This window comes from Homo sapiens, chromosome 13, assembly GCF_000001405.40.
Source record: "Homo sapiens chromosome 13, GRCh38.p14 Primary Assembly".
Classification (NCBI taxonomy): domain Eukaryota; kingdom Metazoa; phylum Chordata; class Mammalia; order Primates; family Hominidae; genus Homo; species Homo sapiens.
Window position 1 is genome coordinate 20981162 of NC_000013.11, and position 20014 is coordinate 21001175.

Genomic DNA, 20014 nt, shown 5'->3' on the forward strand with positions numbered 1-20014 from the left:
AGAGTGGTTTCCATCATCTGACTGTGAAAATCAGGGCTGGAGTCATTCCCTTGGGTCTAGGTAGAGCCCGAGGGCCAGCAGACACTGGTCTAATGGTGCATGTCTTCCAACCCCCTGAAGCAAGAGCACTTCCAGGACAGGAGGGAGGCTTGTATGTTGCAGAAATTAGTAGCTTTCAGGCTTCTATGAGGACAAAAATATGACTGGAAGCATTAGGTCCTTGGAAAGCTAGAGCCAGCGAGACTCAGCTCACGTCTGAAGGGAAGGAGACCTCCTGCGGGGTGGCTGGCCATGGCGCATGTACCTTTGCGGAGGAGCACCTCGGGTGCGATGTAGTTTGGAGTCCCCACCAGTGAATGTGCCAGGCACCTCTGGTGCTGCTTCCGCGCCCTCTGCTCTAGGGTCTTCAGCCTGTCCCCACACCGACAGTTAGACACATCATCCCAGAGGTCGCTGGGCTCCATGCTGTCCTGTCTGACATGGCTCCCTTCACCCAGGAATCAGGGATAGTGAAAGAAAAGAACAAAATATAAAGTGAATTTTCACTCTTCAATAACTCAACAGATCCACAGCTTAAAACAGCAAAGTCATTCCAATCAGCTCCTGACATATCAGGACAGAGAATCCCCGCTGAGCTGCTCCATAGGGGCAGCCTGCTGTTCCTAGTTTGGAGACACACGTGGTGAGGTTGGCGCTAGCACCAAGGTAGAAATGACGGTGAAGAATCACAGGACACCATGCACCGTGCTGAGCTGGCAGGAAGGCACTGCAGGCAGGAGAGGCTGGAAGAACTGCGGGGACAGCACTCCTAGCGCTTAGGCCATAATCAAAAGGTAACAACTGCCTGACACATGTTTTAAGATGAGCATGGAAAACTTAGGAGGATTTAAACAACATGAACAAAGGTTACTTCAATGCCAGAAAATGAGAATGAATTAAATGATTTAGAGTTAGTTTTGAGTTAGAGAAAAAAGACTAAGTGATGATATTAAAATAACTACTTCAAGAATCTCAGCCATAAAGAAGATAATAATCAGCTGTTTTTGGCTTTTCCAAATGGCAGAACTATAGGAAATGGAGTTCAATGATACACTACATAGATGCAGGTTGGCTATAAGAGAGGGCTCCTTGGGAGGCTGTGACTCTTTTATTTATTTTATTTTATTTGAGACAGAGTTTCGCTCTTGTTGCCCAGGCTGGGGCGCAATGGCGCGATCTCAGCTCACCGCAACCTCTGCTTCCCGGGTTCAAGCGATTCTCATGCCTCAGCCTCCCAGTAGCTGGGATTACTGGCATGCATCACCACGCCCGGCTAATTTTGTTATTTTTAGTAGAGACGGGGTTTCTCCACGTTGGTCAGGCTGGTCTCGAACTCCTGACCCCAGGTGATCCGCCCACCTTGGGCTTTCAAAGTGCTAGGATTACAGGCGTGAGCCACCATGCCCAGCCAAATCTTTTATTTTTTAAGGCTTGCTTTAATGAGGCAGGTGATGGTTCCCCACAAAGGCCCCGTGACACCTTGTAGCCTACTGTCTTAAAAATATAGTAGGCCAGGCACGGTGGCTCACACCTGTAATCCCAGCACTTTGGGAGGCGGAGGCAGGCGGATCACCTGAGGTTGGGAGTTTGAGACCAGCCTGACCAACACGGAGAAACCCCGTCTCTACTAAAAATACAAAATTAGCCAGAGGTGGTGGTGCGTGACTGTAATCCCGGCTACTCGGGAGGCTGGAGGCAGGAGAATCACTTGAACCCAGGAGGCAGAGGTTGCAGTGAGCCGAGATCACGCCATTGCACTCCAGCCTGGGCAACAAGAGCGAAACTCTGTCTCAAAAAAAAAAAAAAAAAAAAGTAAACCTGAAATCCACTACCTTAAAAAAAAATGCATATCACACTATTCCTTTTGGAAGGGAAGGATGTCACACCAATTTATAAAATAATGGAGTGACAGATAAAAATTTCAAAATGATTAGGAGCCACTAGGATGGGAAATTTAGTTGCTTGCAATGGGGTTAGTGACATCTACACATAGAAAGTGCATGTGGCACACTTCAGACAATACCTTTCTGGTAATATTTGGAATTGTGAGTCCACCTGAACCCAGTGCAGAGGCCGAAATCTGTGAGTTTAATGTGACCATCCAGATCTATCAAAATGTTATCAGGCTTGATGTCTCGGTGGATGAAGCCCATCTTGTGGACACTCTCAATGGCCAAAGTCAGCTCTGCGATGTAGAACCGGGCCAGGTGCTCAGGGAAGACCTCCATCCGGATCAGCAGGCTCATCATGTCCCCACCAGGGATGTAGTCCATCACAAAGTACAGGCTGTCTTTGTCTTGGAAGGAGTAGTAGAGTTTGACCACCCACTCATTGTCTGCCTCGGCCAGGATGTCCCTCTCGGCCTTGACGTGGGCCACCTGATTCCGGTTCAGGACATCCTTTTTCCTTAGGGTCTTCATGGCGTACAGGGCGTGAGTGTCCACCTTACAAGCAAGGCACACTTCTCCAAAGGCACCGATCCCCAGGGTTTTGATCTTGACAAACATAGACTTGTCCATCTTGGCCCTCTTTAACCTGTTGTAATTAGACTCTTTCTGGTAGAGGATCTTCCGCATCTGCTCCTGCTCAGCTTCACAGAGTCCAGCCTGTGTAGAAGGAAAAGGAAGGAGGAAGAATCACATTAGAGAAGTCCCATGATAACAAATGACTGGGATGGGGATGCCCTGGAACTGAGAGGAACCTAGCTCATTTTACAGAAAGGAGAACAGAGAAGAATGGGTCTCATATACTACAGAGTCTCGCTCTGTCGCCTAGGCTGGAGTGCAGTGGCACAATCTCAGCTCACTGCAGCCTCCGCCTCCTGGGTTCCAGCGATTCTGCTGTCTCAGCCTCCCGAGTAGCTGGGACTACATGTGCCCGCCACCATGACACCTGGCTAATTTTTGTATTTTTAGTAGAAACAGCGTTTCATCATGTTGGCCAGGCTGGTCTTGAACTCCTGACCTCAGGTGATCTGCCCACCTTGGCCTCCCAAAGTGCAGGGATTACAGGCTTGAGCCACTGTGCCCGGCCAGTTTTGTTTTTTTATATCCATATATAGACATGAATATGGAATGAAAAGTTAAGATAAAAAAGAAAGTTCTTTCTCTAGGATACTTTTGGCTCTAAAAACTAAGGGAAACTTCTATTAACACAAATCTGTGGAAAAGGGGACCACAGCATTCCTAGAACTCCAAGAGCCATCTAATCTTTCAGTAACTCAGGGAAAATGGGAAAGCAGGAAGAAAAGTCAACAATCAGCATACAAAAATCAGTAGCATACATTAGATAGACTTGTATATGGTGAGAGATAGGGTCTAGTTTCATTCTTCTGCATATGGATATCTGGATTTCTGTACACCAATAATGAATGCCATTTACAACAGCTATAAAAAAAATCTAGGAGTAAATTTAACCAAAAAGTGAAAGAGCTCTACAAAGAAAACTACAAAACACTGAAGAAAGAAACTAAAGAGGACACAAACAAATGAAAAGAGATCCCATGTTCACCGACAGAAAGATTTAATATTGTTAAAATGACCATACTACCCAAATCAATCTACCAATTAAATGCAATCCCTATCAAAATACCAATGATATTTTTCACATTACTAGAAAAAACAATACTAAAATTCACAGGGAGCCCAAATACTCAAAGCAATCCTAGGCAAAAAGAACAAAATTGTTACCTGACTTCAAAATATGTTACAAGCCTAGAGTAACTGAAACTGCATGGTATTGGTATAAAAACAGACACATAGACCAATGGAACAGAATAGAGAACCCAGAAATAAGTCCACGTATTTACAGCCACCTGATTTTTGACAACGGTGCCAAGAATGTACACTGAAAAAGAGACATGCTGGGAAAACTAGATATCCATATGCAGAAGAATGAAACTAGACCCCAATCTCTCACCATATAGGAATGTCAACTTAAAACAGATTAAAGACCTAGAAATAAGACCAGAGGCTATGAAAATATACTCCAGGACATTGGTTTGAGCAAAGATTTTTATGGCTAAAATCTCAAAAGCACAGGCAAAAAAACCCCAAAGTAGACAAATGGGACTATATTAAGCTAAAAAGCTTCTGCAGAGCAAAGGAAACAACAGAGTAAAGAGGATACCTGTGTTGAACAGGAGAAAATATTCACAAACTATTCATCTGACAAAAGACTATTATTCAGAATATACAAGGAACTCAACTCAACAGCAAAAAAAATATCAAATAATCCCATTAAAAAGTAAGCCAAAAGGCCAGATATGGTGGCTCACGCCTGTAATCCCAGCACTTTGGGAGGCTGAGGCAGGCGGATTACTTGAGGTCAGGAGTTTGAGACCAGCCTGACTAACATGGTGAAACCCCGTCTCTACTAAACATACAAAAATTAGCTGAGCATGGTGTCGCACACCTGTAGTCCCAGCTCTCAGGAGGCTGAGGCAGGAGAATAGCTTGAATCCAGAAGGCAGAGGTTGCAGTGAGCCGAGATTTCACCACTGCACTCCAGCCTGGGCAATAGAGCAAGACTCCGTCTTAATTAAAAAATAAATAAATAAAATAAGGCCAGGCGCGGTGGCTCACACCTGTAATCCCAGCACCCTGGGAGGCTGAGACAGGTGGATCATCTGAGGTCGGAAGTTTGAGACCAGCCTGAACAACATGGTGAAACCCTGTCTCTACAAAAACATAAAACTAGCTGGGCGTGGTGGTGCATGCCTGTAATCCCAGCTGCTCGGTAGGCTGAGGCAGGAGAATCACTTGAACCCGGGAGGCGGAGGTTGTGGTGAGCTGAGATCGTGCCATTGCACTCCAGCCTGGGCAACAAGAGCGAAACTCTGTCTCAAAAAGAAAAAAAAGTGAGCTAATGACCTGAATAGACACTTGTCAAAAGAAGATACACAAATGGCTAAGAGGTGCATGGAAAGATGCTCATTAACCATCAGGGAAATGCAAATGAAAACCACAATGAGATATAATCTCTCCCCAGTTAGAACGACTATTATCAAAAAGGAAAAAAAAGAAACTAAAAATAGAACTACCATACAATCTACCAAACCCATTATTGGGTATTTATCTAAAGGAAAGGAAATCAGTATATCAAAGGGATACCTGCACCCCATGTTTATTGCAGCACTATTCACAACAGTAAAAACATGGAATCAACTGAAGTGTCCATCAACTGATGAACAGATAAAGAAAATGTGGTCTGTGTACACCATGGGATACTATTCAGCCATAAAAAAGAATGAAATCCTGTCATTTGGAGCAACATGAATGGAACTGGAGGTCATTATGTTAAGTGAAATAAGCCAGGAACAGAAGTTCGGTTAGAACACCACACACTGTTACTGATATGTGGGAGCTAAAATAATTGATCTCATAGAGGTAGAGAGTAGAATGATAGTTACCAGAGGTGGGAAAGGGTGTGTGTGTGTTGAGGGGAGATGAGAAGTTAATTGGTGCAAACATACAGCTGGATAGAAGGAACAAACTCTAACTAGTATGACTATGGTTAGTAAAAATGTATTCAATATTTCAAAATAGCTAGAAGAGAGGTCTTGAAATGCTTCCAACACAGAAATGATAAATACACCAGGCAATGGATACTCTAAATACCTTGACTTGATCATTACATATCCTATGCATGTAACAAAATATCACATGTTCCCCACAAATCTACAAATACTATGTATAAATAAAAAATAAACGGCTGGGTGTGGTGGCTCACACGTGTAATTCCAGCACTTGGGGAGGCCGAGGTGGGCAGATCACCTGAGGTCAAGAGTTCGAGACCAGTCTGACCAACATGGCGAAACCCCCGTCTCTACTAAAAACACAAAAAAATGGCCAGGCGTGGTGGTAGGCACCTGTAACCCCAACTACTCGGGAAGCTGAGGCAGGAGAATCGCTTGAACCCAGGAGGCAGAGGTTGCAGCGAGCCAAGATCGCGCCATTGCGCTCCAGCCTGGGTGACAGAGCAAGACTCCGTCTAAAAATAAATTAAAAAATAAAAAATAAAAATAAAAAAAACACAAATGAAAAGTATATCTGTAAAAAAATCAGTGAATACGGGACACTGAAAAGAACACAAATCTGGTTTTCAGGCTTTGGAATTATTGGCTTTGTGTGATTTAAATCTGTTACATTTTAATTTAAATAGTTTCATCAATAATTACCTTCTTCAGCACTTCAGTGTCAACTAAGGTATATTTAAATCATTAGTTACTAACTAAACACTTAAAAGAATAAATGGAATCACTACTAGATACATTTTTCTTCCAAAATCCCACAATCTCAATTTACAAAACCTTAAACTTTGTTTCTACTCATTCAAATGTTCTATTATTAATCCATGATGAATTTTGTTAAGCGAGGACATACCCTAAAACTTAATTTGCTAATTTACCTACAATGTAAATTGTAGATTACCTACATTACGCTGGCTACATTATGCACAGCTATCTCTGATTCTTCAGAAGAGTCAAGGGGAAAGGCGAAAGGGAGGTCACACCATTTGCAACTTCTCCAAGTTGTTGGCCCCAGAACCAGACTGTCGCCCATTAGCCGTTTTGATGATAAGGGGTATACAGTCGAAACAGAAAAGGGATTGTGCGTGCTTCCTATTGCCAGTAGAGGGATGAGCCGGGAACAAATAGTAAAAATGAAGTGTGAAATTACTTTGGCCATTTCTTGCTCCAGCTGCAGCCTCCGGTTAACCTTCTGCTGGTAGGTTTTGATGACATTCTCCACGTGCTGCTCCATGAAGAACTTAAAGGCGTATGGCGAGTAGCTCTTGATGCGTGACTCTCTCTTCTCTTCGTCTCTGCTGTTTTTGCGGACGGGAACGGGAGAGGTCTGAATCTGCTTTTTATCCTTTCCGCCTTTGTCCCCCTTGGCGCTTTTGCGGCTCTTGTCGCCGCCCTCGGGCTCGTTGGGGCCCGCACGGAGGCTCTGCTCCATGCCTGCGCACAGGCTGTCCAGGTCGTACTGCTCCGACTTGCTGCGCAGCAGCAGGTGCTTCGGGTAGGGCGGAGGCGGGCACCTCCGGTCTGGGCCTCCGTACTCCACGTCCAGCGGGAAGGCGCCTGCGCCGCCCAGCGCCAGGGCATGCTCCTCCTTGGCGTCCAAGCCCTCCGCAGCCGGGGCGGGGGCGGGGGCGGGGGCCGGGGCAGGCGCGGGCACCCAGGCGGGGTGCGAGGGCCCCACAGCCGTCTGCGGCTCCGGCCTCAGCACACGCACGCTCTTCACCGGGTGCAAGATGTGCGCGGCCGTGACAGCCGTCACGGTGTTGGGGGCGGGCAGGGAGGGCTCGGCCTTGCCAGGCGGACCGGGCCGCGGCTGGTGGCTGTTGAAGGAGTTGGTCCTGCTGGGCACTGGGCAGTCAGGCCGGAAGGCCACGTGCGCGCGCGGCGGCGCCTCCAGGCCCGGCTTCTGCAGGGAGTCCCGGCGGGCCAGGGTGGCAGCCGGCCACTGCTGGACGGAGGTGCTGCCCAATTCATACAGGTCCACGTTGAGGCTGTTCCGCGAGGGAGTGAGCAGGCTCTGCGGGGGGCTGTCGCTGGCGAACACCTGGCTGCGGGAGCCCAGCACATGCAGCTGGTGGGCCGCGGGACCGGCCTGCTTGTGGTGTGGGTGCGGCACGTAGAGCCCGGCGGCAGGGGGTGGGAAAGCGAGGCCGGCGCCTGGCGGTCCTCCCTGGCCCTTCGTGGGCAGGCTGGCGTAACCCCCGGTCTCCGGCGGCGTCTTGCTCTGGAAGGAGGGGCTGCGCTGCACTCCGTAGCCCAGGGGTTCCCCAGGCACCAGCAGGTGCGGCCGCCCGTAGTGCGCGCCCTGCAGCGGGAAGTGTGCCCCTGCTGCCTCTACGCTGGCACCGTAGCCCTTGGGTGGGTGCTGGTGCTGGTGGCCGGGCCCGTGGGGGCCGACTCCGGGGAAAAGGTAGTCCACGTACGGCCGCGGCATCTCCTCCAGCGCCGTGGGGCCGTCAGCGCCGAAGCTTGGGCCCTCGTAGGGGGTACCGCTCAGCTGGTGGTAGGACGCAAACGAATCGCCGGTTCCTTCGAAGCTGGGCCTCCGCGTCACTGGGGTTGGCATGAGCCCCTTTCCTGCAGTGGAAAAAACAGGAAGACAGCATCAGAGTGGGTGTGATCAGTGGGTTCTGGCACTTCCAGGCTGGTCCCCACTCTAGCGCTGCCCTCGGGGCTGAGGGTCTTGAACCCTGGGCCCTGACGTGCTGCATTCTGCCCAGCACAGGGTCAGTGGACTCCCCTCTGCCCTGCCAGCAGGACCAGTTGCCCTAATGTGTTAGCAGAGTGGAGACAAGCTGAAGGGCACATGGGAGGGCCAAGGGCAGAAGAGAAGACTGCGTCCACATCCCGAGGTGCGTCCCTGCCCCCTGGGGACCACACTGGGGTCACTCTCCTGTCAGGCTAGGGAGCCGTCTGCATAGCCAGCTTTGCTTTTTCAAAACCCTATCATGCCCAAATTGTGGGGGGCTGAGTTTACCGACACACGGTTCCCAAAGCGCTGCTCCCTCACAGAAAGGGCAGAACTGTATCCACTGTGCAGCAGCTGCTCCACTTCTCTTTCACCTCTTTTCCAAATTAAAAGACTTTCTAGTTTTTTTTGTCTATATTAAAACAAAGCAATATATACACAATAATAAAAACCACACAAAACCCCTCTACAAATATCCAGATTGATTTCATCTGCTGCTACCTTAATCCTGACCTCCATTTTGTACATCTCATCTGAAACAGACACCGGAAGGAAGGACAAAGGTTCCTTTCATTTCTTCAGGCCAACTGCTCCACTTGGCTCGGCTTAGCAGAGGGTGCCGAAGGGTGGAAAGGCTGGGCCTTGCCCACAGGAAGACCACCCCGATACCTGGCAGAGTGAAGGCCCTGACAGCCTGGCACTGAACAAAGGTCACAGGCACACCAAGGCTTTGTTTTCCCTGGGCCCAGAAGACGTCAGTGAAGAGACACACCAAAGGCAAGTGCAGAGGGAAATCAGCACGGAACATGGGCCTGGCCTTCCCTTTGAGCTGTGCTCTAAGGCCTCAAAACTGGAAGAATTCTGACATGGATGGCCAGCTGGGGGCTATTTAAGGAAGTTCCTTCTCTTAAGAAGAAAACAAAAATGTGTGTCCTTTTAACAATGGAGATATAACTTACAAAGGTGAGATTTTTCTCACCCACATGAAGTAGGTTTTATCCAAGGTCTTCCACAAAATAGGGAAAACTCTTGCTAATTACTAGGATTTTTTTTTTTTTTTTTTTTTTTTTTAAATACAGACGAGGTCTCCCTCTGTTGCCCAGGCTGGTCTCCAACTCCTGCCTCCATCCTCTGGCCTCAGCCTCCCAAAGAGTTGGGATTACACAAAACAAAACAAAGCAAAACAAAACCAGGCCACACAGTGTTGGGTTACAGGCTTGAGCCACTGCGCCTGGCCATGAATCCTTTATCACACCCCAGGGGCCTCAGGTACCAATCACAGGGCCCATGTGCTCCATCTTGGGAAAGTAACATTCATCCATAGCCAGTAAAAAGCAGGGGTTTGGTGCGGTGCCTCAGGCCCATCACAGGGGATGCTGAGGGGGGCCCAGCGCTCTGCCCACACTGCCTGCCATTGAACCCCCACTCTCAGAAGCTACGATGTGAGAGAGGTGTGTTTTAGAATTGAGGAAAGAAGCCACCCTTGTCAAAGATCCCTCCACAGGCCCAAGAGAAAGTGAAAAGACCATTTTTACGCCCGCTTTGCTGACTTTTTTGATCTTTCATAAAACAAGCACACACCTTCCCCTAGGTAGGAAGTACTAAGGTAATTTCAGACAAGGCTGGATGGGGCAAGCGCCAGGCGTGTCCCACGGTCTACCACTTGGGGCTGCTCCCGCCAGGGCCTGACTCTGTCAGGGCAGGGCAGGCTCAGCTTGCCTGTTAACTGAATGAGGCAATGTGCCAGGAGACTGGCTCTGGCCAGGCCAGGCCAGGTTGGACCCCTCTGCACGTGGTTTTGTTGTCCTTAAGCCACAAACCATCTTTGCCCACTATGCTGCAGGCCTGGGCTCACCTGGGGAGGTCTGCTTAATGACCCGCACAATCTGCTCATTCCTCGGGTCCAGGTAGCCCATCTTGCTGATGTACTCCAGGGCGGCCTCGATGCTCCTGCTGCCAGTCTGCTTGAGAGCTCGGCCAGCCATCTCCTGGGAGGGAAGTAAAGGAGAGGTAAGTGCATGTCATCCTAAAACAAAGCCACCAAAGACTCCCATCCCCACTCCGTGCTGGACTGTGCTGGGACACTTCGCCTCTGTACTGCTGAGAACCTGCGATATGCTGCAGGAGACCCTCAGAATGAGTGCAGGTGGCTGTGTGCCCTGCAGGTACCTGATGGCAAAAGCCTAGCACAAGCCACACCATAGACTATTTAGCCTTATGTCAAGGACATATGGGAATTTTGATGATGGGCCTGAAAGAGACTTAAATTCTGCTTCTCCTCAGAAAACTTTTGTGGTTGGACTGGTGAGTTCAGGATGAACCTAAAACTAGAAACATTTAAGGGGAAGAACTGTGGGAGTCAGGGAACCTGGCTTTAACCTCAGCTCACCTCCAGGCTAACTCTGGGACTAGGAAACCTGTCCCCAGGGAGAGGGTGCAGCTGCCGAAGAGTCATATATTACACGCCTACTGTTTACAATGCCCCATGCTGGCTATAGCAGCGGAGGACTGGCCCTTAGAGATCTGACTCGTAGAAGAAAGAAAGGAGACAAAACAGGGGCCCATGGAGCCACACCGGTCCAGGACAGGTAGCTCAAACTGCTTGTGGGAAGAACACAGGGACTGGTGGCCACCACGGGAGAGGGCAGGTAAAATGGATGAGGGCCACAGGAGAAAGCCTCCTTCCACCCGAAAGATGAGGTGGTGGCATGGCTAGCTGTTCCAGACTTTGGGCAGGTGGAGAGCCCTGGGAGAGAAAAGGCATTCCTGGCAGATGGGACAGCCAGAGCAGAAGCCTGGGGAAAGATGGGCCCATGGCAGCAGCACGCAAGGGTAGGTGGAGATGGGGGGATGGACCCACAGATGGGGGCCAGGCTCTCCAGGGTTTTGCTCCTGTCTGCAGGCATTCGAGGAAGCTTTCAAACTGGGACATACGGCATCAGCAGGTCAGGCTGGGGGCGGCTGTGGGTGCAGAGCTGGAGGCACTCAGATGGGGGAGACAGAATAGGCAGGAGGGTACCGAAGAGATGCAGCCCAGTGGCGCGGGGCGGTGAGGCTCTGATGAAGGCGCCCCCTTCACCTTTCAGGACAGCTCCGCAGAGCTGTAGGCAAACAGGGAGGGTGAGCAGAGAGAAAAGAACACCGTTGAGGCTGGCTGTGGGACAAGGGCAAAAACAGGCAAAGGCCACAAAAAGGGCTTCAGCAGAAGAAGAAAGGCTGAGCACTCTGAAGGTCAACGAGGAGGGCAACCAGGCAGGAGGAAACTGAAAATGTAGAACGGGGAGCTCCGGAAAGGAGTCCACAGTTACCCAGACAGCAGAGAAGAAAGGGGTGGAGATGGCTGGGCGTGGTGGCTCACGCCTGTAATCCCAGCACTTTGGGAGGCCGAGGCAGGTGGATCAAGAGGTCAAGAGATCGAGACCATCCTGGCCAACATGGTGAAATCCCGTCTCTGCTAAAAATACAAAAATTAGCTGGGTATGGTGGTGTGTGCCTGTAGTTCCAGCTACTCAGGAGGCTGAGGCAGGTGAATTGCTTGAAACCTGGGAGGTGGAGGCTGCAGTGAGCCGAGATCACGCCACTGCACTCCAGCCTGGCGACAAAGTGTGACTCCATCTCCAAAAAAAAAAAAAAAAAAAAAAAAAATGGGGGGGTGGAGATACAGAAAGACCCCGGACAGTGGGGGAGGCCGTGCAGGGCTGCTCTGCAGCAGGAAGCCTGGCCATGGTCACAGAGCCACTCCGCAGAGAGAGATGCAGCACTGAGTGTCCCCCACCTCTGGATAGGGCATTGTGGTGCCCATGATCTGAATCGCACTCAGCTGTGTGTCTGTGGTTCCCTTAGGACAAGAAGAACCTGGCAGGGCCTGAATCCATGTTACTCATGGTTGCTTCTGCCCCCTTAACACAGTGCCTAGAACAAATTAAGCACTTATTGTCCATATATGATGGTCTAATACTGAATCAAGCTTTCCAGTCCTGGCCATATGCCAGCAGAATGGCAGCACAAAAAACACAGGCTGTAAACTGTGTTCTTAGCAATGCAGGCGTGGGCATGGCAAGATGGCAGGGACAGGCAAGGGGCTGCAGAGGAGCACGAGGTGGAAGGCCTGGGGAGGTGCCGCCACATGGGCAGGCCATGTTGCCTGCCCATGTGGGACATGGGACATGAAGTGACAGATTGGAAAATGGTAATAAGAACAGACCTGTTTGTTAAAGTGGCGCCTGGACTACCAGAAAGGGCAAGTGTTTACAACCTGGAAGAGTTGCAGAGAGAAGGCAGCGGTGGTTCAGAAGGGAAGTGCTTCCTGACCCCACCTGGGACAGGAGATAAGACTCCCACCACCGCCTACTTCGGGAGCTATGCGATGAGATCACGTCTACGAAGACTCAACAGCTTGGAGGAAGACACGATATAAGACCACATCTTTGTGGGATCACCCTGGAGCTTTTGGCGCCCATTAAAAAAATGTGCCAATTGGGGCTGACTCTAACCACAAGCCTTTCCATCAGCACTAACCGTTCAATTGCTTCATCTGAAACGTGACCAACGCTCTGTCTCCTGCAGGGTGAATCACCAGCCTGTGCTCATTAACCCAGTACCTGTTGACTGCCAAGGAAGGGACAGCTCCAGGACAGACTAGGTCAATGTGGATGTTCTCAAATTCCCTCCCTGTTTATGGAGCACCCACTACTCAAGATGTGTATGTTTATTGTGCATCAAATCTAGGAACTCAGAAAAATCAGCAAGGAGACCACAAGTGAAGACTCATGTTCAGAAGGGAGTTTCAAGTCCTAAAAGTGAACCGTACTCATGAGCCGGCTTGTTTATAAATAAACCCTTCAAATAACCCATGTCCTTTGAGGCTTGCCCTTGTTATCTGTCCATCAACCCTTCTTTAGCAAGTAAGTACTTCCTATCTGTACATTAAATCTCAGAAGATGCTACTGTACATATACATAGAGCTATGTTTTAAACACTGAAGGAAATGGGAATCCACTTCTAAATCCATCAGAAATACATGGCCTCTGGGCACAAAGTACATGCAGAGTCACAGAGTGAAGACAAGTGCACAGTCGGGGGAATGGCAAGAGGTCGGAGCCAGGATGCGGGAGGAGTGTGTCAGAGAGATGCAGCTGAAGCCTGGCCGAGGAGCTTGGCCACTCACCTTCCTTTCTTAAGCATGTATGGAGACCAAGCTGGATGTGGTGGCTCATGCCTATAATCCCAACACTTTGGGAGACTGAGGCAGGAAGACTGCTTGAGCCCGGGAGTTTGAGGCCAGACTGGGCAACACAGTGAGACCCCGTCTCTACACAAAAATAGCTGGGTGTTGATGGCGCATGCCTGTAATCCCAGCTACTGAAGAGGTTGAGGCAGGAGGATTGCTTGAGTCCAGGAAGTAGGGCAGGCTGGGCAACAAAGTAAGAATGTGTCTCAAAAAAAAAAAAATAGAATAAAATATTTTTTAAAAGAAGAATGTATAAAGATCATCATTTAAGGGTCCTTATCTAGAATCGTAGGTGGCTATTCCAAAAGATGGCAGGATGGCGCAGTGGTACAGGGCGCAGATAGGGAGGCCACACACCTAGGTTCACCCCTCCCCTCTGCTGCTTAGCAGCTGTGTAACTTTCAGCAAATCATTTCCTTACTTTGAGTGCCCGTTTCCTCATCTGGGAAATAAGGCTAATAGGTTGCTCTAGGGATGAAAGGAGATGTCATGCTTGGGCATCAGCATCACTTAAGGGTTAGCTGTTACAGTTCACAAAGGTATCTTATGTGTTTCTGGGAAAAAAAAACATAAAAACTGTAATTGTAGATTTTATGCATGTTTGATATTTAATGGCTCTAATGTTTTACTGTGTATTCTTCTTACAATAATTATACAAAGAAATGTAATGAGTTCTTTTCCCCAAGCCTCAATAGACACCTCCAGTCTCTTCCAGCTTACCTCAGGCTGCTGTGTAAACATTATCCACGTCTATGCATGCCAAGATGTGGAAAGGGTGAGCAGCCCTGCCCCAAAGCAAGAGTTCAGCTGCAAGCCAACTGAAGGCGAGGACAGTTCAGGTATGTGTTCTGGTGTCTAGCGTGTAGAAAGAGATCAGCAGATATCTGTTCAATGAATGATTGAGTGAGTGACTGAGTTAGACTGTGACATAGGATAGATGAAAGGAAGAAAGAGCTGCAAGCAGGGAGTAAGAAGATACTGTCTGTTCCACTGGGCAGGCTGCCCTGGTGTGTGGAAGATGGAGATAAGGTACACAGCAGAGATGCACCAAGGCACAGGCTAAAGGGAATTTCAAATCAACATTATCAACAGCAGCAACTTCCAAGTTTTACTCCATTATCTAGTTTGCACACGTGCCATTCTTCAGGACAGCCTCTTCTACAGAAGTTCACAAAATCTTAATGCTCTTTGAATGTGTGTATCATGCACTATTTACCAATTACTAATTATTTACAGAGTAATGTGGTAGGCTAACAAGACTTTGATGACTTTGTGTCAGTCACCTAGCCACGTGCAACAAGAAAATCCCTCACACACTAAATTTTTCTCCTAAAACCCTCAAGAAAGCTTAATTTAGGAAAGCTTAATTTAGGATTGGGCTAATGTCTCATAGAAAAAGGATGCTAATCCATTGAAGTTGGTTACCACGCCCATAAATTAAGCCTTCTCTTCTAGACAGATCTCAATGCTGGAGTTGAAGCCATCATATGAGCACCAGATTTGGCACAAGATACCTGCAGTGTTCAACACTTCCTTCATCAGTGACCACTCCATGCCACCTGCTGCAAGAGTAAGATGACTCAACATGTGCAAAACCCAATCTCCTGCCTCTAACTTACCAGTTCTCTCAGGGCTCCCAACCTTGGAAGCATCTTGACTTTGAGATTTCATTCACATCTCACATCCAGTCCAGAAGCATTTTTTTTCTACCTACATTAGAGTGGTAGAAGATTTTTTTTTTTTTTTTTTTGAGACAGAGGCTCGTTCTGTCCCCCAGGGTGGAGTACAGTGGCGTAATATTGGCTCACTGAAATTTCATCTCCCAGATTCAAACAATTCTCCTGCCTCAGCTTCCCGAATAGCTGGGATTACATGCATGAACCACCACCATACCTGGCTAATTTTTGTATTTTTAGTAGAGGTGGCGTTTTGCCATGTTGGCCAGGCTGGTCTCGAACTCCTGACCTCAGGTGATCCACCTGCCTCAGCTTCCCAAGGTGCTGGGATTATAGGTGTGAGCCACCGTGCCTGGGCTGATAGAAGATTCTGGATACTTTGAAGGCAGAACTGATACTATTATTCACACTCCATATCAAATTCAGCAAAACCTGACATGGCATAAACTCTATGCCTCACAGTTTGGGGAGCCACAATGGTTACAAAATAAGAGTCTGACGGGCTCTTACCTGGAGCCCTTATCTGCTACCCTCTGGGCTATTCTTGCAGATTCATAAATATTAAATGAAAAATTATTTTGTCAGATTGGCTGTAGAATAGAAGCTAGTAGGGCTAAATACTATGGCACAAAGGACAGACACCCCGAGGGGCCTGGCAGCCTCGTCTCTTCTGGAGAGCGGTGACATGCACTGCAGTGGGCTAGTCTCAGCTTGGGGTGGTGGCCCTGGACCAGATAGAAGGAATTCTTCCCACTCCATTAAAGCAGAGCTCCTCAAGAGGTTTTCTGCCTCATGGCTAAAACTAAGAGATTGGGGAGGGACTGAGAAGGGCAAGACAAACTGAGGTTTCACTGGTTTACTGCTGCTACTGACAGCTCTTGTAAAACTCCACTTTAGGTGTGTGAATTACACATGAATAAAGCAGTTTTGAACATCTGTACCTTAGGTATCTTTCCCAAGAGATTTCTCCTCTTACATTTTGTCAACAAATTGATGTTCGCTTAAAACTGGACCTAACCACTACGAAGCCTGGAAAATGTGAGATTTGCCCATATGCTATCTGATATAGAAAGGACTGCAAAAGAGGCACTTTAACAAAACGGCGAGGTGGCTGAGGGGTGGGACACCTGCCAGTATCAGGCCCTGCCAGTATCTTGAGGCTGGTCCTCTCAATTGCAAGGACCACACCCCAGCTCCAAACCTCCCCATGGGATGGTCCAGGCCTCTGTTGCAGGTACATCACCATTTAATGATCTTCTCTGCTGTCCCTCGGGGAAGCTGGCCTCACCCAGCTCTCCAGCTGCTGACCAGCTGCCAGACAGCCTAGCATGGGCTCCTGACACACCCTCTGCTCTCTTGGCTTGGTCCCCTTCTACTAAGCACAGGGCTTACGAGGACGGGTGGGAACTGGAAGACACTCCTTCAATCTACCGCTCAGCTCTTAGCAAGGCAGGAGCTGGGCTTGCAATGTCTAAGCAGCAGAAGTATTTCACGTGCATTGCCATGTGAATGCAAGTAATTTAAATGCAGTGACAATTATTATGTATGAGGGAAGGAATTTCCTATGGAGATCCTCCCCCACTCAGCCCTTCCTGGTAAGGAAGCATTTTTCAAGCCTTAGCAAAACCATATCCTAAAGTTTTAACATTCCAACTATGAGGTTTGGCTGAAAAAGTAGAAACGGAGCACTCTGGCCCTATCGTGTCTGCGTGGGCCTCTGTCTGTGTCTGCCTGTCTCTCAGGCTTTCTCAGGTAACTTCCACTTAAGTTGTAGCTGACGCCTGTAATCCCAGGGCTTTGGGAGGCCAAGGTAGGATCGCTTGAGGCCAGGAGTTCAAGACCAGCCTGGGCAAGACCCGCATGTTTGTAAAAAGTGAGAAAATTAGCTGGGCATGGTGGTGGGTGCCTGTAGTTCCAGCTTCATGGGAGGCTGAGGCAGGAATCACTTTGAACCTGGGAGGTGGAGGCTGCAGTGAGCTGAGATCATGCCACTGCACTCCAGCCTGGGAGACAGAGCAAGAGACCCTGTCTCAAACAAACAAACAAAAATTAATTAATTAATTAAATTAAGAAAAAACAAAGACTGAGGGAGAGAAGAGGATGAGAGGGGCCAGTTGGCTGGCAGAGGAGGCTGCACTGTCTCTGGCGGGATCCTGTGCTTGCTTGGAGGATTGCCAGCAGGGTGGTCTTCAAAAGAATCTCTGACCCAAAGGCCTAGATTTTTTTATGAGAACACAGGAGCCGAGGAGCTGGAATTTCCAAAGGGTGTTCCAACCCCACCCCCACGGAAAGGCCCCTGGAAGAATGAGGCCCTCCGGGCCCAGGCCTCCTCTAACCGCCCCACCATTGCGTGCCCCTCCCCTGAGCGCGGCGCTCCCGGCGATCTTGGGCAGGTGGGGCCCCAAGGCCTTGTCAATGCGGGGCGAGGCGGGGCGGGGCCCGACAACCTTGGGCTGGTGGGGCAGAGCCCCGTGACCTTGTCCACACGGGGCGGGGGCCGCAGCGACATTGTGCACGCCGGGTGGGGGCCCTGCGACATTGTCCACGACCTTGTGCACGCGGGGCGGGGGCCCTGGCGACGTTGTCCACGCAGGGTAGGAGTCCCGGTGACCTTGCGCACACGGCGCAAGGGCCCTGGTGACCTTTTCCACGACCTTGTCCACGCAGGACAGGGATCCCCGCGACCTTGTGCACGCAGGGCGGGGGTTCTGGCGACCTGGTCCACAACCTTGTCCACGCGAGGCAGGGGCCCCGGTGACCTTGGGCAGGCGCAGCACGTGCCGTGTGCGAGCCAATTATGACTGGAAAACAGGTGGAGGACAAATGGAAGTAGTGGCCTTTGGAGTTTAAATGTCTGTGTGCTTGAAGAAAATGAGTCGCCACCTTGCGCGGATGCAGCAGAAGCTCCAGCCCCAGCCGTGGCCGCCTCCGACCGCTGGTGGCGCCGCAGGCCCCCGAACCTTGGTAAACCAGACACACGCCCGGAAGACACCTGCTCGGCACATACAGGTACAAACCATACGTCTTTTTGAAACGAATGAAGAAGAAATTTGGCATAATGTTTTGTTTTTGTTTTGTGTATTTTTAAGGGCCATGCTAATCTCTGTATCGTTCCAATTTTCATATCTGCTGCAGAAGCGAGCACTTTTTCTTTTTCTTTTTTTTTGACAGGGTCTTGCTCTGTCACCCATGCTGGAGTACAGTGGCTCGATCAGGGCTCATTGCAGCCTGGCACTGCCCGGCTTAAGCAATCCTCCCATCTCAGCCTCCTGTAGTCAGGAGCCAGTATGCTTGGCTAATTTTTTAAAAAATTTTTTTGTAGAGATGGGCTCTCACTGTAACCCAGGCTGGTCTCAAACTCCGGAGGCCAAGCCATCCTCCTGCCTCAGCCTCCTAAAATGCTAGGATTACAGACATGAGCTAGGGTGCCTGGCCTTAAATTTGTTATAAAATAAAATGAACATGAAAAATCCTTGGCCTTGCCAATGATCACGAGACCAGCCTGGACAATGTGGTGAAACCTCATCTCTACTAAACATACAAAAAAAAAAAAAAAATAGCCAGGCGTGGTGGCACACACCTATATAGTCCCAGCTACTAGGGAGGCTGAGGCAGAAGAATGACTTGAACCTGGGAGGCGGAGGTTGCAGTGAGTCAAGATCACGCAGCAGAGCAAGTCTCCATCAAAAACAAAACAAAACAAAGAAACACTGATAAAATAAAGAGCATTTTACAACTATTGTTAGCACCAAAATAAAATAAAAAATTATAAAGATAGGCCGGGCGTGGTGGCTCACGCCTGTAATCCCAACACTTTGGGAAGCCGAGGCGGGCAGATCACAAAGTTAGGAGATCGAGACCATCCTGGCTAACATGGTGAAACCCTGTCTCTACTAAAAATATAAAAAATTAGCCGGGAGTGGTAGCATGCGCCTGTAGCCCCAGCTACTCAGGAGGCTGAGGCAGGAGAATCACTTCAACCCAGGAGGTGGAGGTTGCAATGAGCCGAGATTGCACCACTGTACTCCAGCCTGGGTGACAGAGCAAGACTCTGTCATAATAATAATAATAATAATAATAAAGATAAATGTGCTGGTAAAACTATTCTTGGTCATGTATAAACCAAAAATATTCAGGGGTGAATATTTATTATCAAAAGTTATTAAGTTTTTTTTATCCCGATTTAATGATTTTACTTCTTGAAATTTATCCTCAGGCTAAAATAATTCAGTTTTAAAAAACTGATTTCCATAATGATGTCTGTCAGATTTAGGTATAATATATCAGCCCCTCAAATAGGAAAGTGTGGGATGGGAGTTAGAGGCCACATGGCCACTACTAAACTATAATTATAATTAATATAGTCCTTAGAATACACTTACCACAGCCAGAAATAATACTTTCTATAAGTAAAACTCTAACAAATCTACCACTGTTCTAGATGGTATGTAGCAAAAATAAGCAAAAACAAAACAGGCAACTTTCAATAGTGTAAACAACATGAAAAAATGCTGATTGTATAAAATGTTATGTCTCTTAGTAACTATGTACACAAATCAGTTATGCCTATGAACAAGGGCTTGATTAGAACATGAAAAAAATTAAAGTATGACTTAATTTTATGTTGAAAGAACAGTAATTTCGATTTGTTAAAGAGAGCATGACAATAACATGCTTACACATGTATCAGACTCCATTAAAACAAAACTGCCTGTACTATCTAGCTACATAATTGTGGACAGATCACAAAAATTCTCCAGATCACAGTTGTGTCCAATAAAATGGCAAGATAAGAATATACAAGCTAATCCCAAAGTTCCTTTTATCTGTAAAATTCCAGGATTTTGAGGAAT

The 20014-nt window shown here is 48.5% G+C and overlaps 1 protein-coding gene across 7 annotated transcripts in view, besides 2 other annotated features; it reads right to left on the minus strand.

Moving 5' to 3' along the window:
• The window catches only part of LATS2 (large tumor suppressor kinase 2), an 88551-nt gene that overhangs the window by 8126 nt on the left and 60411 nt on the right, over nt 1-20014 (minus strand). For 6 of the 7 annotated variants that reach the window (XM_017020542.2, NM_014572.3, XM_005266342.1 and 3 more), the window contains 4 exons: nt 10111-10243; nt 6720-8143; nt 2063-2645; nt 305-487 (listed from right to left, as the gene is read on the minus strand). In XM_017020542.2, the coding sequence (XP_016876031.1) occupies nt 305-487; nt 2063-2645; nt 6720-8143; nt 10111-10243 (2323 nt within the window). Of the gene's footprint in view, nt 1-304; nt 488-2062; nt 2646-6719; nt 8144-10110; nt 10244-13906; nt 14040-20014 lie in introns of all 7 variants that reach the window. The other variant, XM_017020541.2, reaches the window with a different exon arrangement.
• Nucleotides 15919-16458: an enhancer, noted in NCBI's record as "H3K27ac-H3K4me1 hESC enhancer chr13:21571219-21571758 (GRCh37/hg19 assembly coordinates)". NCBI's record gives its function as "activates a minimal SCP1, AML or CMV promoter by ChIP-STARR-seq in naive H9 embryonic stem cells {active_cell/tissue: H9 hESC(naive)}" and the evidence as "EXISTENCE:reporter gene assay evidence [ECO:0000049][PMID:30033119]".
• Nucleotides 17240-17776: an enhancer, noted in NCBI's record as "H3K27ac-H3K4me1 hESC enhancer chr13:21572540-21573076 (GRCh37/hg19 assembly coordinates)". NCBI's record gives its function as "activates a minimal SCP1, AML or CMV promoter by ChIP-STARR-seq in naive and primed H9 embryonic stem cells {active_cell/tissue: H9 hESC(naive and primed)}" and the evidence as "EXISTENCE:reporter gene assay evidence [ECO:0000049][PMID:30033119]".